At 41.2% G+C, this 17,560-nt stretch overlaps 2 non-coding genes and 1 pseudogene across 2 annotated transcripts, besides 1 other annotated feature; all 3 read left to right on the top strand.

Moving 5' to 3' along the window:
• Nucleotides 416-1,061: an enhancer, noted in NCBI's record as "H3K4me1 hESC enhancer chr6:27258990-27259635 (GRCh37/hg19 assembly coordinates)". NCBI's record gives its function as "activates a minimal SCP1, AML or CMV promoter by ChIP-STARR-seq in naive H9 embryonic stem cells {active_cell/tissue: H9 hESC(naive)}" and the evidence as "EXISTENCE:reporter gene assay evidence [ECO:0000049][PMID:30033119]".
• Nucleotides 3,097-3,170, top strand: TRS-ACT1-1 (tRNA-Ser (anticodon ACT) 1-1; annotated as a pseudogene).
• On the top strand, nucleotides 4,638-4,709 carry TRQ-CTG5-1 (tRNA-Gln (anticodon CTG) 5-1). The gene has a single exon. It is a non-coding gene; the product is annotated as a tRNA-Gln (tRNA).
• Nucleotides 4,710-7,200: 2,491 nt separating this feature from the next.
• TRS-GCT2-1 (tRNA-Ser (anticodon GCT) 2-1) lies at nucleotides 7,201-7,282 on the top strand. The gene has a single exon. It is a non-coding gene; the product is annotated as a tRNA-Ser (tRNA).
• The last annotated feature ends 10,278 nt before the right edge of the window (nucleotides 7,283-17,560 follow it).

Here is a 17,560-nt window from a genome sequence, read left to right on the forward strand (position 1 = left end):
TCACTCTCAGCTTTCAAAAGCAGAATACTGTTCTATTAGGTGTTTCTCTCTGCATGTTGTCGGCAGTGTTCTGAATAGGAGGAGATCCCTGCCTTTAAAGGGGGCGAGATTGGGGTGGAGGGGTCTCTGCTCTCTTCCTAATGCGAACTGTCGCCTGCTGGCTTTATTCAAGGAGAGGCTCTTGGGGATTTCCGTAAGTAAAGTCTCCGCTTCTAGACCAAGAGTCCCTGACCACTTGAGTGAACATTACCAGTCTCCAGCAATTCATTTATTGTCAGACAATATTTTCAAAAATCACATGACTTTTAGAGAAGACAAGAAGAGAAAATGGGGAGGGAATATGTGTAAGACAAGATTCTGCAGGGAGAGCTCAATTAGGGCAGACGTTACTGCGTCGCCTGTTTCTCCACGATCATTTCCCTTGATGGTCCCGATCGCCACAAAGACGTCAGGGATTAGGGTCGCAGGCGCCTTGTTTAATGGCCTTTTGGCTTGGAGCATTTCCAATGCGGGTCAATGCGTAGTAGCACTTTTGCGGGAAGCTAGCGTTGCATGGAACATTAGGCCGCACCCGCCTCTCCAGGTCCCGGCTGGGCTCTGGTTGCTCACTCACTGCTGTGAACCTGGCTCCCTCCGAAGCATGGCAAAGTTCCACTTAAGGACGCTCCAGGTGGATATGGGGTAAAGCTAGGGTGTTTCCCGGCATGTACATACACTGGGGTCCTCGAAAGGATCCTAGACGGGGAGATGTGTGGGCACAAAGTGTGAAGATGTTTGTGTCACATGTTAAGTTAACCAGAGTGCGTCCACCAGAGAAGAACTAAACAACTAACTAACTGGAATGATTCTACCAGTTTTTGTCAGCTAGCTTTAATAATTAGCCACTACAGTGCTGGCAGATTGATTACATGAATTGAATAGCCTAATGTCAGCGATGGAAACTAAGCATGGGCCCAGTAACAATGGGCTTGTCTGTTACAGGAACTTAAAAAGATCTTTTCAAAATGCAAATCTGTTCATGAGACTTCTCTGCCTAAAATCCTTCCATGGATTCCCATTGTTGGTAGGGCCAATTCAAAAATCTTTAACTTGGCCTATACATAGTAATCATAGTTCTTAGTTTAGACTCAATATAGATCAATTCATGCCTGTTAATTTTAGTGCGCCATCCTCTTTACCATCAAGTAAAGTAACCTGATTTATTTATAACAATCTACTAGAGGGTCCTGCACCATGCACATGTTCTCTCCTCCTCAGGCCTCATCTCCTACTACTTGCACATCACTCTGCAGCTCAGTCTTAATCACCAGACACACTGACGCTGTCTCAGCTCTTCTCCCCTCAGGTGTTTTGGCCATGTTGTTCTCTCTGAGGTGCAGAAAAGAAGGCCTCTGCTGGCCCTTCTCCTTGCTCTCCATTCAGCCCCTTCCTTTTCCCACCTGATTCTATCACATTCCTAAAGTCTCGCCTAACTGAGAGAAGGTGATATTCCAGAAACAAACATTCCCCAGTATGACTTCTCTACATTTTCACTGATTGTAATTCAGGAAGAAGGAGGGGTAGAAATGTGCCCAGGGTCCTATTTATGCTCAATATAGTTAAAACAAACAAGCAAGGAAAAAGAATATTGGGATCAACCCTCTAAAGCACAGGTGGACAATGGCTGTCAAAATTGCCAATGCACTACTCTTTGATGCAGCTTTTCCACATGAATGCAAGGTATCATGGCAGATATCAGAGATGGTGTATGTTCATAGATATAAAGAGTTTGCAATAGCCGATGGAAAACTAAACTAACTGCCCATTAAACTATGATATATACTAACATAATTGAATACTATACTAGTTTATTTATTTATTTATTTTTTTGAGATGAAGTCTCATTGTGTCGCCCAGGCTGGAGTGCAGTGGCACAATCTCCACTCACTGCAACCTCCACCTCCCAAGTTCAAGACCTTCTCCTGTCTCAGCCCCTTGAGTAGCTGGGATTACAGGCATGCACCACCATGCCTGGATAATTTTTGTATTTTTAGTAGAGATGGGGTTTCACCATGTTGGCCAGGCTGGTCTCCAACTACTGACCCAGATGATCCGCCCACCTCGGCCTCCCAAAGTGCGGTGATTACAGGCGTGAGCCACTGCTCCTGGCCAACTACTACACATATATTTTTTAAATTATTATACTTTAAATTCTGGGGTACATATACAGAACATGCAGGTTTGTTACATAGGTATACACGTGTATAGTATATGTAATACTATACATATTTTTAAAAGAATGAAGAAAACTTGTCTATTCTGATATGGAAAGTTTGCAAAAGTACATTGTAAGTAAAAATTTAAAAAGGCAAGGGACTTAAAAAGTGTATAAAATGCCACTATTCATGAAGAGAAAAAAGAAAACACTTGTGTAACTTTGTCTATGTATTCAAAATCTCTGGAACGATAAACAAGACATTAAAAACAATGGTAAAGCTTTTGGGAAACAATGGCTGAGTAGACAACGATTGGGTTTAACGGCCCCTGGAATGGTGACTAGAACCACATTTCTAGCATTTTTCAATACCAAGGTCTTCGAAGCGACCTTTGATTTGAGGTCACTTTAGGAATCTGAAGGAACACATAGGAAGACTCCCAAATTGAGGATCTAGACATAAGAAACCTGGGACGATCTCGATCATGGGACCATCGAGAATCAGACTCGTTGGGAATATCCTTCAAGTACCAATTTGTATGTTGTATTAGTGAGCGGCTTTTACGAAGCAAAGACTCATTAATATTTCACCGAATCTGATTCATTGTCTGCATGTATTGACTAGACATTCAGAAGGCAGCAAATATTTCCATAAATTGCTGGGCCATTAGCCACAGTTTGAAATGTTTAAGCGTCCTCTTTCAAGTCTACGAATACAGCCATTTTGCTTTGTTTTTGCGTTAAGAGGAAATTTCTCGTTATTTCTATTAAGACTCTAAAGCAACTAAGAAATTGTTCCTCCCTGTAAGACAAACAGGAATTACGTTGAAGAATTTAATACTTTCACGGAGAAGGGGCGAGGATGCGGGTGAGATGAATAACAAAAGCACAGATTTGCGGTCGGCCGGTTAGCTCAGTTGGTTAGAGCGTGCTGCTACTAATGCCAGGGTCGAGGTTTCGATCCCCGTACGGGCCTTTGGCTTTTTCCCCCCTCGAGAAATTTGGTTTTCATGCTCTAAGATGATTCAAATTAACCGTCCCCATTTCTTAACGAACCTAGAACCTAAGTTCGTTTCCGAATCATCTGAAATGCTACATCTCCCCAGGTAATAATCTTCTTCTTCTTCTTCTTCTTTTTTTAAATGTTCTTTCTGTTTCCTCCAGGAATAAGGGTTGGGGACAGAAAGCTGTTCAGAGCAGAGACCTCCAAGACTGGGAGCCTGCTTAATGAAAGGGGGGGGGGGCGGGGAAGAGTTCAAGGAGTGGAAAAATAACTGGCATTTTTTTTAAAAAAATAAAGCTTATTTGATTTCAGATTTTCCTTCCAAATTAGTCCTGAAACCTACCTTCTTTCTCAAATTGTAGAGACACAAGATAAAGAGAATAAATCCTTAGAAGGTTGTGGATATGTGTCTCTGAAAACCCTTTCGAATTTAACTGACAGACGACATTGTCCTGTGAGGAAGCTATCACTTTAAACAAGGAACACAGACTTTTTGTTTTGTTTTGTTCACAGAAACCGATTCTGTGTGTGTGTGTGTGTGTGTGTGTGTGTCTGTGTTTGTGTTTTCACATGGGCTCCTGTGTGTGTCACAAAGGGATATGCGAGGGAGAAGCAGGGAGTTTTCTTTGTGTCCGTTTGGAAGTTTACCCTGCACATATTTCTCATTGGTGAAGGGCAGTGGAAGGACCAGGGGAGCTATGCACTGTCCTGGGAAACTCCAGAGGGACCTTTGTCTACCCTTCCCCTTCTTTCCCTGAGTTGCTATCCTAGGGTTGCTGGGATCTTCCTCTAACCCAGTAGTTCAAGTGCATTTATTTCAGCTTTCTGTAAACAGCAAAGTGGCTCCCCTGTGACTTCGGTAAAATCTTTCCATAACGTGTCCTTAAAAACGCTACATGTTACCCTGGTAAAAACGATTTTTGAGAAAATAATTAGATCTATAACGAAAAGGAGTAAAGCATCTCAGGTATCTGACTCAAATTTCTCACCTGTAAAATAGAGATTATGGGTCCCATCTCACAGCGTGGTTGTGAGCCTCACAGGTAAGGTAACAATAGAAAACACTTGTCACAAAAACTGGCACACGGTAACCTGGCATACTGTGTGCCTGGCACCTGGCACACAGTCTTGTTTAACAATCTCACTTGTCTACCATTGATGAAATAGAGGCCGAGGCCCGGGGCGCCAAGCTCCTAAAGCACTTGAAAGGAGTGGTTTAGGATTAGAGGACTCCTGACAGTTGGAAGTCAACGTTTTCCATTAAGACTGTGGTGTAAAAGGTGTTGAATGTAGGCATGTGGCAGGTAAGCGTCTTCTTGACTTAATCCTCCAAGAGGAAAAGCAGAATGCACCCATCACCCAAACTATGGGGCGGAGGGAAGGAACCTAAAGTGGAGAAATAGGTCACCTATGACTTTAGGAAATGCTAGTTCAGCTTCAGGTTCCATGGTGTAATGGTTAGCACTCTGGACTCTGAATCCGGTAATCCGAGTTCAAATCTCGGTGGAACCTTGGATTTAGTCCTCTGCAGTCAAATCCCCATCGTCTCTCCACAATCTATACTGTTGCTCATACAAATCACTCGACCAAATTTTATTCCTGGTATTTCCACGTCACATCTCTTGAGCGGAGTATCTTTAGCTGCCAACCAAATAATAACTTTCTTTTTGCTGCGCACAATTTGTTCTTTGGAGAAAAAAGAGAGAAGCCTCAAAAGGAAATGCACGAGGCAGTCGCTCGAGTCCTGCTGGAACTGCAAATCAAAGTCTCCAGAAAAGATCTGCAAACAAGTGAGGAGACAATAGATAGGAGGCTAGTGAGAAGAGAGAAAGGAAATTTGGTGATAGTCACGAACAGAGAAAAGCTGGGATGGAAACTGAGGAAAGGACTTACCCACTAAATGGGTCTGGGAGAGGTGACAGTCGCCGAAGCCGAGAGAAAACTGTCCTCAGACAAGACCACAAGGGGATAGAAGCTCAACTTGTGAGGGCTGGGCAGATAGAACAGGTGACGGGAAAGATACAACTGGCGATAGTCAATAGTCAATAGAGATAGATGCTGTTTCGAGTTTGCACAAGCAAGTTTTACTTGGACAGAGAAGAGGGGGAAATGAGCTGAAAAGACTCCCTTTCCCAGGATAACAGAGTTTACTCTACGCCCTCTCCCCGCCAATCTCCCCAGCCACCAACCTCCCGCAGCGTTTCCTAGTGAGGGTTCCCTGAGCTCATTGCTGGGCGCTCAGCAACTCGGCTTTCTTGGCATTTCCGTCTGGGCATGGACAAGCTCCTGAAGAAGGGGTTTCAGAGCTCGGACCCTCTTAGACAGATTGTAGAAGTTCAGTCACCCGGAAATTGCTGGGGCGGTTTGGTTTTGGAGAGAGGCGGGGACGAAAGAAGAAAGCTGTGAGCGAGGAGAGAAGGCAGGGAATGTGAACAGGAAAAAGCTCTTGCGCTAAGGAATGTCAGAGAAGCCAGCGCCCGGTGCAGCCGAGAAGCTTAGCGACAGGGTTGCTGGGCCGGAGACCACGAGATCCTAGAGGCTACAAAGAAACATTTCCCCATATGTGTCTCCCCTACCGCGCACTAGCTCCCTATGGGATGTGAATGCTCCCTACTTCCATCTTCCCCTGCAAATCATTCTCGCCTTTTAGATAATATCTTACCGTGACAGAACAACTGGAAATGCTGGTGTCTCCAAAGTCTTCTGTAAACAAGACACAGAGATGTGTGTCTCAATTGCGTATTTTACACGATTTTATGAAGGAACTGACAAATTCCTCATTTACTTCCGACTAATAACATTCCATTTTTAACAAAACGGAACGTACATATTGGGCCATGGAAAGTTAGTGTTTTCATTTTTTTTTACAATTATTGAGACTCGTAGGAAAATTCTTGGACTTTTATCAAATATGAATACAAATACAAATATGGATATCCGTAAAGTTATATATTTTACGTCCTCCCAAATCTCCTGCTCGCCATCACTTTTATTTATTGCTAAAATTTATTTATTAAATTTAGATAAACGTAATGAGAATGTGTTGAAGATTCCACTTTAAATAATGCACCTTAAATAATCATAAAAACACCTTTTGGAAGGCTCGGACTTATTCAAAACCACAATCTACTGATCTTTTTGTTGTTAATTCCACTGAACCTTTCTTATTCCGGCTATAAGAAGTATTTATCCGCGGACAATGAATTGATGGAGAAAAAAATATTAACAGCCATTTCACTAAAAGATGCATTTCCAATGCAACTCTACTTTTCGTGTATTCTAAATTACTTACCAAAATCGTTGATTTGTGTTTGTTATTGTGTGCCACCATTGAATGTAAAGGTAATTCAAACCAGAAGAAAAACGGTGAAACTCTTGGGGATTTATGGTCAATGGACATAAAAAAAAAATTAGAGGTTTCAATTTATATAAGTATTTTCCGTTGCTGTCAGTTATGATAGCGTTTTTAAGCATAAAAATACATAATATTGGGATAAAATTCTGTGGCAGAAACAGAAAAGAAATACATTGGCAGCAGAAAAAGGATTCCCCCCACCCCACCCCGCCGCCTCAATTTTCAGCTGCTTAGCCTTCAGTAAGAAGGACTGTAAGGCCTAACATGAGATCTGAGGAATGAGTAATGAACTAAGGCAGGTGAAGTGAGGGCAAAGAGAAGAGTTAAAAGAGTGCTGAGGGTGGAAAATGAGAAGGAGAGCATGGAGCTTGGGGAGAAAAAAAATTCACTGTAGTTGGAAAGCTAGAATGGATACGGAGGAACGATGACACTCAAGACTGGACACACGGGCGCTGGGCACGATCATTAAACTGTAAAAGGTTCTCCATATGAAGGTGGAAAGAACTTGTTTTGCGTAAGAATTCTTTAAGGAGACCACAGTTTGAAGGACATTACAATACATATCAACATATCACCATAATTAAATTGCAAGTCTTCGTCAAAAGCAAGCCTTAAAGGAGTATCCCAAAAACACATTTTCCCCAGAAGGACGAGGTGGCCGAGTGGTTAAGGCGATGGACTGCTAATCCATTGTGCTCTGCACGCGTGGGTTCGAATCCCACCTTCGTCGACCGTTTTCTTTAAGAGGGTAACCAGGTTTTTGTCGCAGGTCTGAGTTGCTCTCAGAAAAGTTATATAGATTATCTACAGCTTTCCTCCTTTTGCTTCCTCTCATTTCTCTCGACCATCTATCAGTTTTATTTCCTCCTGAGGTTCAAAGGAATTCTTGAGGATCTGAGTGGAATTACTCTCCATTCTTAGATTACAATTTACTACATCCGGCACGTGGGCTGCGGGCATTGCCTGCACCTGAAGGGCTCTTAGCCAAGATGTCCGCATGGTGCAATGGATCCCTTGCTCCACTCACATAGTGCCTCATGTTGCAAAGCGAAAGAACCAAAGGCGTTGGTCAGACACTGATAACCTCTCCTTCTCCGAACAATTAACAGAAGTTTGTGTGTCACCTTCCTTTCTATTTACATATGAACGAGTAATTTGTACCTTTGCTTATTGTCCAAGTAAAGTGCTTTGGAATCTCCTGTCTTGGATTTGCTTCAAAATACTAGTTGGTGTTGGAGAGCAGCAGAGAAAACAACATTACAAAATGTTGTTAATTGTTTAAGCTGGTTGATGGGAAGTTGAATGTTCGTTATACTAAATCTTTTTACTTCCTCAAATTTTTACTAAAATGTTTTTTATATATTTTTTTTTTGGACAGAATCTTACTCTGTCGACCAGGCTGGAGTGCAGTGGCGCCATCTCGGCTCACTGCAACCTCTGCCTCCCTGGTTCAAGCGATTCTTCTGCCTCAGCCTCCCGAGTGGCTGGGACTACAGGCGCCCACCACCACGCCCAGCTAATTTTTGCATTTTTAGTAGAGGCGAGGGTCTTGCCTTTTTGGCCAGACTGGTCTCGAACTCCTGACCTCAGGTGATCCACCCACCTCGGCCTCCCACAGTGCTGGGATTACAGGCGTGAGCCATTGCGCTCAGCCTTTTTAAACTTTTCACCCGGAAATAATTTCAAACTTAAGGGAAAAAATTAAGAATAAGAATAGTATAAAGACCACCCATATACCTTTTATCAGGATTCACTTTTAACGTTCATTCTCTCTCTCTGTATGTGTTTATATCTGTGTATGTTTGTGTGTGTGTCTTCCAGAACATTTACGAGTAAATTATATATATTATGTTCCTTTGCCCTTAAATATTTAAGTGAGTACTTCCTAAAGGAATATTTTCTTGTGCTATAGCCATAATATAGTTACCAATTCAGTATATTTAACATTAATATAATTTTTTATGAATTTTCTAACCTGTATTCCATTTTTTTCAATTGGCCAGTAATATCCTTTATAGTATTTACCCCCTCCAGTTCAGGAATCTGTCTAGAATTGGGTGTTTTCCATATCCCTTTAGTCTCCTTTAACCTGGAACATTTTCACATCTTTCTTTGTATTTTATGACATTGACTTTTTGAAGAACCTGGTAACTGCTCACATTTTTAAAACATAGAACATTTCTTATTTGGGCTTTGCGTGATTTTCTACCCTCATAATTGGGTTCACATTATGCATCCCAGAGAATAGAATGTACATGGCATGTCGTTCTCAGGACTATTAAATCTGGAGACATGCAATGTTCATTGCCCCTCATTGCTGAGGTTAATTCCAATCACACAGTCAAGTTGATATATGTGTATAGTTTCCCCCTTGCAACTAATAAGCAATCTGCGGGAGATGCTTAAAGATCATACAAATAACTTGCTCCCCATCAAAATTTTCCTCTAGAGTTAGCATCTATTGATAATTCCTACTTGAACCATATTTACTATGATGGTTGCAAAATGGTGTTTTTTTTCAACTCCAGAATTTTCTTCACATTTACCAGTTTTTACTTTGGCATTCTATTGTAATCAAGAATCCCCCTTGGCCGGGGGCTGTGGCTCACGCCTGTAATCTCAACACTTTGAGAGGTCGAGGCGGGCCGATCTCAAGGTCAGGAGTTCAAGACAAGCCTGGCCAATATGGTGAAACCCCATCTCTACTAAAAATACAAGAAAAAAAAAATTAGCCGGGTATTGTGGTGGGAGCCTGTTGTCCCAGCTACTCGGGAGGCTGATGTAGGAGAATCGCTTGAACCTGGGAGGTGGAGGTTGCAGTGAGCCGAGATTGCGCCACTGCACTCCAGCCTGGGTGACAGAGTGAGACTCTGTCTCAAAAAAATAAAATAAAATAAATAAAAAGAGTCCCCCTTTAACATCTATTTATGTATTTATTATCAGTATGGACTTATAAAATCTTATTTTTCAGTGGTTTACAATTCCATTATTGCCTTTAATAACTTTGGTAGTCCATATAACCCAGATTGTGTCAGAGGCAGACCCTTCAAGCTGAGTACTCTGTCCTTTTGACATTCTTCCACCATATTTCTTAAACTTTCTTAATTTCTGGCATAACAAATTGTTCTAGGCTCTACTGCATTTACCCTGTCCCAGTCCTGAAGTCTCCTATTTCTTAGTGGTGCTCTTTTAATGAGGAATGTATTAGAGACCAATATCCAGGGTCTAGGTGTATTTACTGTTTCTAAGGCACCTTTGCTTCTAGAACATTTTATCAACAATATCTAGGAAACACGTGTATACTCACACATACATAATATGTAAATACACACACACATATATGTACATGTGCACATATACATGCCTATGCACATACATATGCGTATTTTAATAATTATGAGTACCCAACGATATTTACTTTTTTTTTTTTTTGAGCCGGAGTTTTTCTCTTGTTGCCCAGGCTGGAGTGCAATGGTGCGACCTCGGCTCACCGCAACCTCCACCTTCCGGGTTCAAGCGATTCTCCTGACTCAGCCTCCCGAGTAGCTGGGATTACAGGCATGTGCCACTACCCCTAGCTAATTTTGTATTTTTAGTAGAGATGGGGTTTCTCAATGTTGGTGAGGCTGGTCTTGAACTCTCGACCTCAGGTGATCCACCCGCCTCATCCTCCCAAAGTGCTGGGATTACCGGCACCGGCGTGAGCCGCCGCGCCGGGCCGGATATTTACAATTCTAATGTATCCCCTGAGGAGCATTTTTTTTTTTTTTTTTTTTTTTTTTGCCTTCCCACCATCACCTATTTGTATAATCCTCTTCTGCAATTAGAATAGCGGCTGAAATGATTTACTCAAACGAGTAAATCAACACATTTAGTCATGTGCCCTATCCTATAATACACCTAAAATTGCTTCAAAATTGCTTTGTCCACATTACAACAGAAAACAAAATCGATTAAAAAGAGTCCAAGATTTGTTTGTAATTCTCGTCCTGCCCCAAGTTAAAAGTAACATGGTCTGATTCTTTCTTTTTGTATACTATGGTTTGGTATTCACTTGAGTATGAGCCCAGGCTAGAATGTAGTGGCGTGATCTCAGTTCACGGCAATCTCCACCTCTCTGAGGCTCAAGTCACCCTCCCACCTCTCCAGAATAGCTCATTTTTTGTATTTTTTTGTAGAGACAGGATTTTGCCCTTTCTCTCAGGCTGGTCTCAAACGCCTGATCTCAAGGATCCGCCTTGGCCTCCCAAAGGGCTGGGATTAAAAGTGTGAGCCACTGCGTCCGGCAACCACTACACTTCTAGATAACTGACTTCATTGCTTCCTGATTTATCCTCCTTCTACATGTCTGCCTTCTTATTTTCCCTTTTTTCTTGCACTTCAGAAAGTAATATAGTACTATAAATACTCCTTTGCATTTTGCTTTTTCTTCATTTAATGTCTTCTGGAAATTGCTCCGTATAAGTTAATAGATATCGTCCCTATTCACTCTGTTTCACAGTATCCCCATGTGTACACGCACTGTAGGTATAAACTAATCTCCTATGACATTTAGTCAAAATGCATTTGGGAGTCAGTGGGTAAAAATAAATTGAAGATTGTAGGCCTAGGGGGTCTCCAGATAAGAACATCTTCAAAGCAGCAAGATTAAAGGAACAAAACATGTTCCCCTCATCATCTTATTTCCGTTTGTCCGATTCATTTTTTTGTGTGTAAATGCTCATTAATTAGGGTGCTCATTGTTTAGAATAATTTATATACTTTTTTTGTTTTTTTGTTTGCTTTTGCCATATGTAACGACTCACTAAAGAGGGCTTTAATTTAAATTTTTTTCTTAGGGCCGGGCGCGGGGGTTTTATTCCTGCAATCGCCAGCACTTTGAGAGACCGAGGCGGGCGGATCGCTTGAGTCCATGAGTTCGAGACCAACATAGCGAAGCCCTGTCTCTACAGAAAGTACAAAACATAGGCCTGGCGCGGTGGCTCACGCCTGTAATCCCAGCACTTTGGAAGGCCGAGGTGGGCGGATCACCTGAGGTCAGGAGTTGGAGACTAGCCTGACCAACATGGTGAAACTTCGTCTCTGCTAAAAATACAAAATTAGCCAGGCGTGGTGGCGCTTGCCTGTAATCCCATCTACTCGGGAGGCTGAGGCAGGAGAATTGCTTAAATCCGGGAGGCGGAGTTTGCAGTGAGCCGAGATCGCGCCATTGCACTCCAGCCTAGGCAACAAGAGCTAAACTCCGTCTCAAAAAAAAAAAAAAAAAAGTTAGGTGGGCGTGGCAGTGCGCGCCTGTAGTCCCAAATACCCCATTTCCTCAACAACAACAACAAAAATTGCAAATATCTTACCAAGACTCCCCTTTCCGATTTTGCTATTGAATCCTGAAGCATAAACTTAAAAAATTTTTACGACATTCCATTTTCCTTCCTAGCATTTCAAATTTAACTTGTTTCTGTTTTCCCCATAAAGTCCAAATGACTCTAGTTTATGTATATGGGGATAAAAATGGTGTCTTCATGATTAACATATATTGCTTTAGAGAAGAATTCACAAAGCTTTCTCATTAACTTTATCTAAAGTTTACAAATCATGTGCGGAAGCGTATAAAGGAGTGACAGTGAGCAAGAGAGTCTAACCCAAGTAAAAATGCAGAACAGCTGGCCCTTCGTAACCATGGGTTCTGCATGCAATGGATTCAACCTACTGCTGATCTAAAATACTTGAAAAACCCTGCGTCTATACCGAACATGTACAGAAATTTTCTTGTCATTATTCCCTAAACAGTGCAATATAACAACTATTTACATAGCATTTGCATCACGTAAGACAGCAGTCCCCAACCTTTTTGGCACTAGGGACCGGTTTAGTAGAAGACAATTTTTCCACGGACGGGACCGGTACTGATCCGCGGCCGGGAGGTTGGGGACCCCTGATATAAGGTGTGATAAATAATCTAGAAATGGTTTAAAGTATGCCGGAAGGTGTACATAGGTTATAAGCAAATACTCGATCATTTTATATCAAGGACTTGAGCACTGGTAGATTTTACTATTCGCAGGAGGTCCTGAAACCAACCTTTCACAGATACCAAAGGACGACTGTATAGTTATCGAGCAGAAGTAAAAAATGCTTTTCCTTCGCGTGTACGAAAATTATAAAACCATAACATACCAAAGATAGGTGTGTATTCTATTCACTGGAAGACAGAACGCGGATCCGTTGGAAATTAAAGTTAAATTTGTCATCTCTCTTTTGAAATGAGCGATAAGGGAAGGTATTGCAAGAACAGATGAGAAAAGAATACGATTAACGCCTTTATAAAAGTTGGGCAGTGGAGTAGTAACTAATTTTAAGAGGTTAAGTAAGGAGACGTTGAGAATCTGATTTTCTTAATTATATCATGGTACCGGGAAACGGTGATCATTAAGAAAAACACCCTAGCCAAGGATGGCTTCGATCCATTGACCTCTGGGTTACGGGCCCAGCACGCTTCCGCTGCACCACTCTGCCCACGGAGAAAACACTCTACTTTTCTTCCTAAGATGATAATCAATAAGCTCATATTTCCTCATACCAACAAATTCTGGTTTATTTATAAAATGGAATCTTATTTAGCTGTAAGAATGAATTTCTGTGACAATACAAGTACTCTTTTAATACAAATAAATGTTTTTATTTATTATTATTATTATTATTATTGAGACATGGTCTCACTTTCACCCAGGTTGGAGGGCAGCTATGCCATCTAGGCTCACTGCAACCTCTGCCTCTGCTTCCCAGGCTCAAGCTATCCTCCCGCCTCAGCTTCCCGAGTAACTGGGGCTACAGGCGCGCTCCACCACACCCGGCTAATTTTTTTTTTTTTTTAAGTTTTTGTATTTTTTATAGAGAGGAGATTTCTCTATGTTGCCCAGGCTGGTCTTGAACTCCTGAGCTCAAGCAATCCTTCCGTCTCGGCCTCCAAATGTGCTGGGATTACAGGCATGAGCCACCGCACCCGACCCAAATAAACCTTAAAATGACATAAATACATCTCAAAACCATAATGTTGTGCAAAAATGCCACACTATGGGATATACTCTACGATTTCACTTCTGTCGAGTTCAAGAACAGGCAAACTAACATCTGGTGATAGAAGTCAGAATAGTACTTAGCTTACAGGATGCAGTATTGACTTGATAAGGTAACACAACGAAATTTGGAAATTTTCTCAATCTTGATCTGGATGGTGTAATTTCATAATTACATGAAATTATACATATATAAAATTCATTGAGCTCTATCTATACTTTTTTTTTTACATTTTATTGTATGTAAAGTATACTTCAATAAAGTACTGAAAAAAGTGAAAGCAGAAATGAAGAAAGGAAAGAAAGAAGGCAAGAAAAAGGAAGTATGTTCTAATATACTTCAGGGAGCTAAGGCAAAAGTGACCAGAGGACAACTTCCTAAACAAAGTTGTAGAGCCATGAAGTGGTCCGTAGGAGCAGGAGGAAATTCCTAGCACTGTTTGGAAAAAGTACGCTGAGCTCTGCCTTCCGCAGATAACACTCCCTCAATGCAAAACACTATTTCGCAGAGCCTTGTTCTCCTCCCAGGAAGGCAGGATTGTTTATAACCCCTAATGTATGACAGAATGATAGACCTAATAGGGGTACTGGCTCTGATAGATTTTGAAAGCATTCTCCCAAATAAGAAGAAAGTTTCCTTTTAATGTATTAATTCCAAAAGAAAAAAAAAAAGAAATTAAAAGGAGCTCCAGAAAACTAAGAAATATTTCTTGTTTAATTGAGGTGCTAATTCATTCAATATTCAGGAAAACGTGTCTGTTTGGACCATAGGTCTAGACTTCAGAGGCAAAGAAAGATCTCCCCAGTGGGCACAGGTCTCTTCTGTGGCTGGCTGCAACTACTGCATGAAGACCACATGCTTTTCTTTTTTTTTCTTTTTGAGACGGAGTCTCACTCTGTCGCCCAGGCTGGAGGGCAGTGGTGCGATCTCGGCTCACTGCTAGCTCTGCCTCCTGGGTTCACGTCATTCTCCTGCCTCAGCCTCCCGAGTACCTGGGACTACAGGCGCCCGCCACCACTCCCGGCTAATTTTTTGTATTTTTAGTAGAGACGGGGTTTCACCGTGTTAGCCAGGATGGTTTCGATCTCCTGACCTCGTGATCCGCCCGCCTCGGCCTCCCAAAGTGCTGGGATTACAGGCGTGAGCCACCGCGCCCGGCCAACCGCATACTTTCCTTTTTGGCTTCCTTTTATGCATTGTTGTCAGTGGTTGGGCAAGTGCAGTACTAACTATGAGAGTCCAGGAGTGGAGCAGAGACTATATCTTGAGGTCCCTGGAAAATGAGTAAAGAGAGTCAGACTATTTCTGGGGCAATGGTGGGGAAGTCAGTTAAAACTACTGGTGGGGAAATCAACACATAAAGGCAGATGCTCACGCACAAGCCCACAGATAGGTAGACATACAGACATACATAAAAAGGCACCAAACAATTTATAGCTATTCTTTAACCAGTCCTTTAATTTTATTAAATTCCAGCATTCTCTCTTTTAGAGAATCCAGTCATATCTTGCTTGAAACTTTCACTTGAAGTAAACACAACAACATTCAAGGGGAGTTATTCTGTTTCCTTATGCTAGGGTACCAGCCAATAAGAAGACTTGTAATATAATTGCTGAACACAGAATCTTTGAGGATTGAACCTGGGGTGCCCTCCTTAAGGGAGCAAGCTGTAAGTCTTGCCATATTCTTATGCTGTGCTGATGCAGGATAAGAAGCATCTCTAAAACATTTAGACCTGCACTATTCATGTACTTATTATCTGCAGTGGCTATTGAGCACATGAAATGTGGCTAGACTTAGCCTGGGCAACATGGTGAAACCCCGTTTCTACAAAAAAATTAGTTGTGTATGGTGGAGCATGCCTGTAATCCCAGCTACTTGGGAGGCTGAGGTGGGAGGATCACCCGAGCGTGGGAGGTCGAGGCTGCAGTGAGCCAAGATCACACCACTGCACTCCATCCTGGATGACAGAGTGAGACCCTGTCTCTAACCAAAAAAAAAGAAGGAAAGAAATGTGGCTGGACTTAATTGAGATGTGATGTAAATGTGAAATACATAACAGATTTTGCACACATTATGTGAAAAAAAACTCAACGATAATTTTTTTCAAATTAATTAAATGTTAAAATAATATTTTGAGTATATTAGATAATACATATCACCCATTTATTTACTCTTTAATGTGGCTTCTAGGCTATTTAAAATTATATACCTGGCTCACATCTGTGGCTTGTGTTATATTTTGTTGGACTATGGCTGGTGTAGCTAGCCCGCATCTTGTATACCATATATTTTTATCATGACCTCTTTTCAATGTCCATTGATTAATATATCACTAATTTTACCATTGTAAACACATTTTTGACATTCTTTAGACTAACTAGCTAGTGTCTGCTATTGATCCAGAAAAGAGAGCTGAAGCAATTGGACCATTCCTAGATTATGAACTCTTGACTAGGAAAATGACTGCCTTCCAGGTGTAGATTGAAAATCGTCCACATTTATATCACACTTTCTACACTGAGGAAAGTTAAAGACATCACAGGTGTTGGGTGTCCAGAAAGAGGACCGTGGAATGTACTATCAGCTGAGAGGCATTGTCTCCTCCCTGTGTACAAATACTAGTCTAAGGGCTTAACATGCTTAATTTTCCTATGAGCTATTCTCTATTATTGTCTTCATAATTAGGTAAAAGTCATAGAGTGGTTGAGAAACTTTCCTATGTGAGGTGAGCTACATGTCAGCCTAGATTTGGACTATAGTATACTTTTACCACTATCCTGCACTCCAGGAAAGTCCCATAGTGAGGGGTGAGGAGCACAGTCTTTGGAGCCAAACTACCTAGCAACAATTCTTTTTAAAAAATTTAATATTATTTTTCATCGACAAATCATAATTATCTACATTTATGAGGTACAGTGTGATGTTTTGATGTTTTGATATATGTGTACAGTATGGAAGATTAAATCAAGCTAGTTAATTAAATTAAATCACATGCTGGATATATTCCCTTGCCTATCTTTTATTTTTTCATACCCAGATGAGCTGAATTACCTATTATTTTTTATGGTGGAACATTTGAAATTTACCCTCTTATTTTGAAATAGGCAATTCATTTTTGTTGACTTATAGTCACTTTGCTGTGCAATGTATTTCAAAACTTATTCCTCCTATCTGAAACTTTGTACCCTTTGACCAACAGCTCATTCCCTTCCTCTCCCCCAACCCCAGTAACCACATTCTACTTTTTAGTTCTACGAGTTCAACTACATTAGATTCCACAAGTAAGTGAGATCATGTGGTATTTGCTTTCTGTGCTTGTCTTGTTTCACTTAGCATGATGTCCTCCAGGTTCATCTTACACATTTTTGCAAATGACAGAATTCCCTTCTTGTTAAGGCTGAATAATATTTCATTGTGTATCTATACCACATTTTCTTTGTCCATTCAGTCATTGATGGACACTTAGGTTGATGCCATATCTTGGCTGTTGTGAATAATGCTGCAATAAACATGGGAGTGCAGATATCCCTTCAACACATTGACTTCAATTTCCTTGAATATATATCCAGAAGTGAGATTGGGGCATTATATGGCCGTTCTATTTTTGGTTTTTGGAGGAACTTTCATACCATTTTCCATAATGGGTGTACTAATTTACATTTCTACCACCAACATACAATGTTTTCTCTGCATCCTTGCCAACACCCTAGACACAATTCATGCCTCTGTCACTTTCTCACTGTGTGTCTTTAGGCAAGCTACTTGGCTTCTTCATTGTTCTGTCCCCATCTGCAAAATAATGACTGAAACAGTGCCTACCTCATAGGATTGTCATTAACTCAATAGTTTGACAGTTTCTCATAAGGTTAAATATACACTTATTATATGACCCAGCAATACCACTCCCAGAAATTTTCTTAGAGAAATGAAA

This window comes from Homo sapiens, chromosome 6, assembly GCF_000001405.40.
Source record: "Homo sapiens chromosome 6, GRCh38.p14 Primary Assembly".
In the NCBI taxonomy this organism is placed as follows: domain Eukaryota; kingdom Metazoa; phylum Chordata; class Mammalia; order Primates; family Hominidae; genus Homo; species Homo sapiens.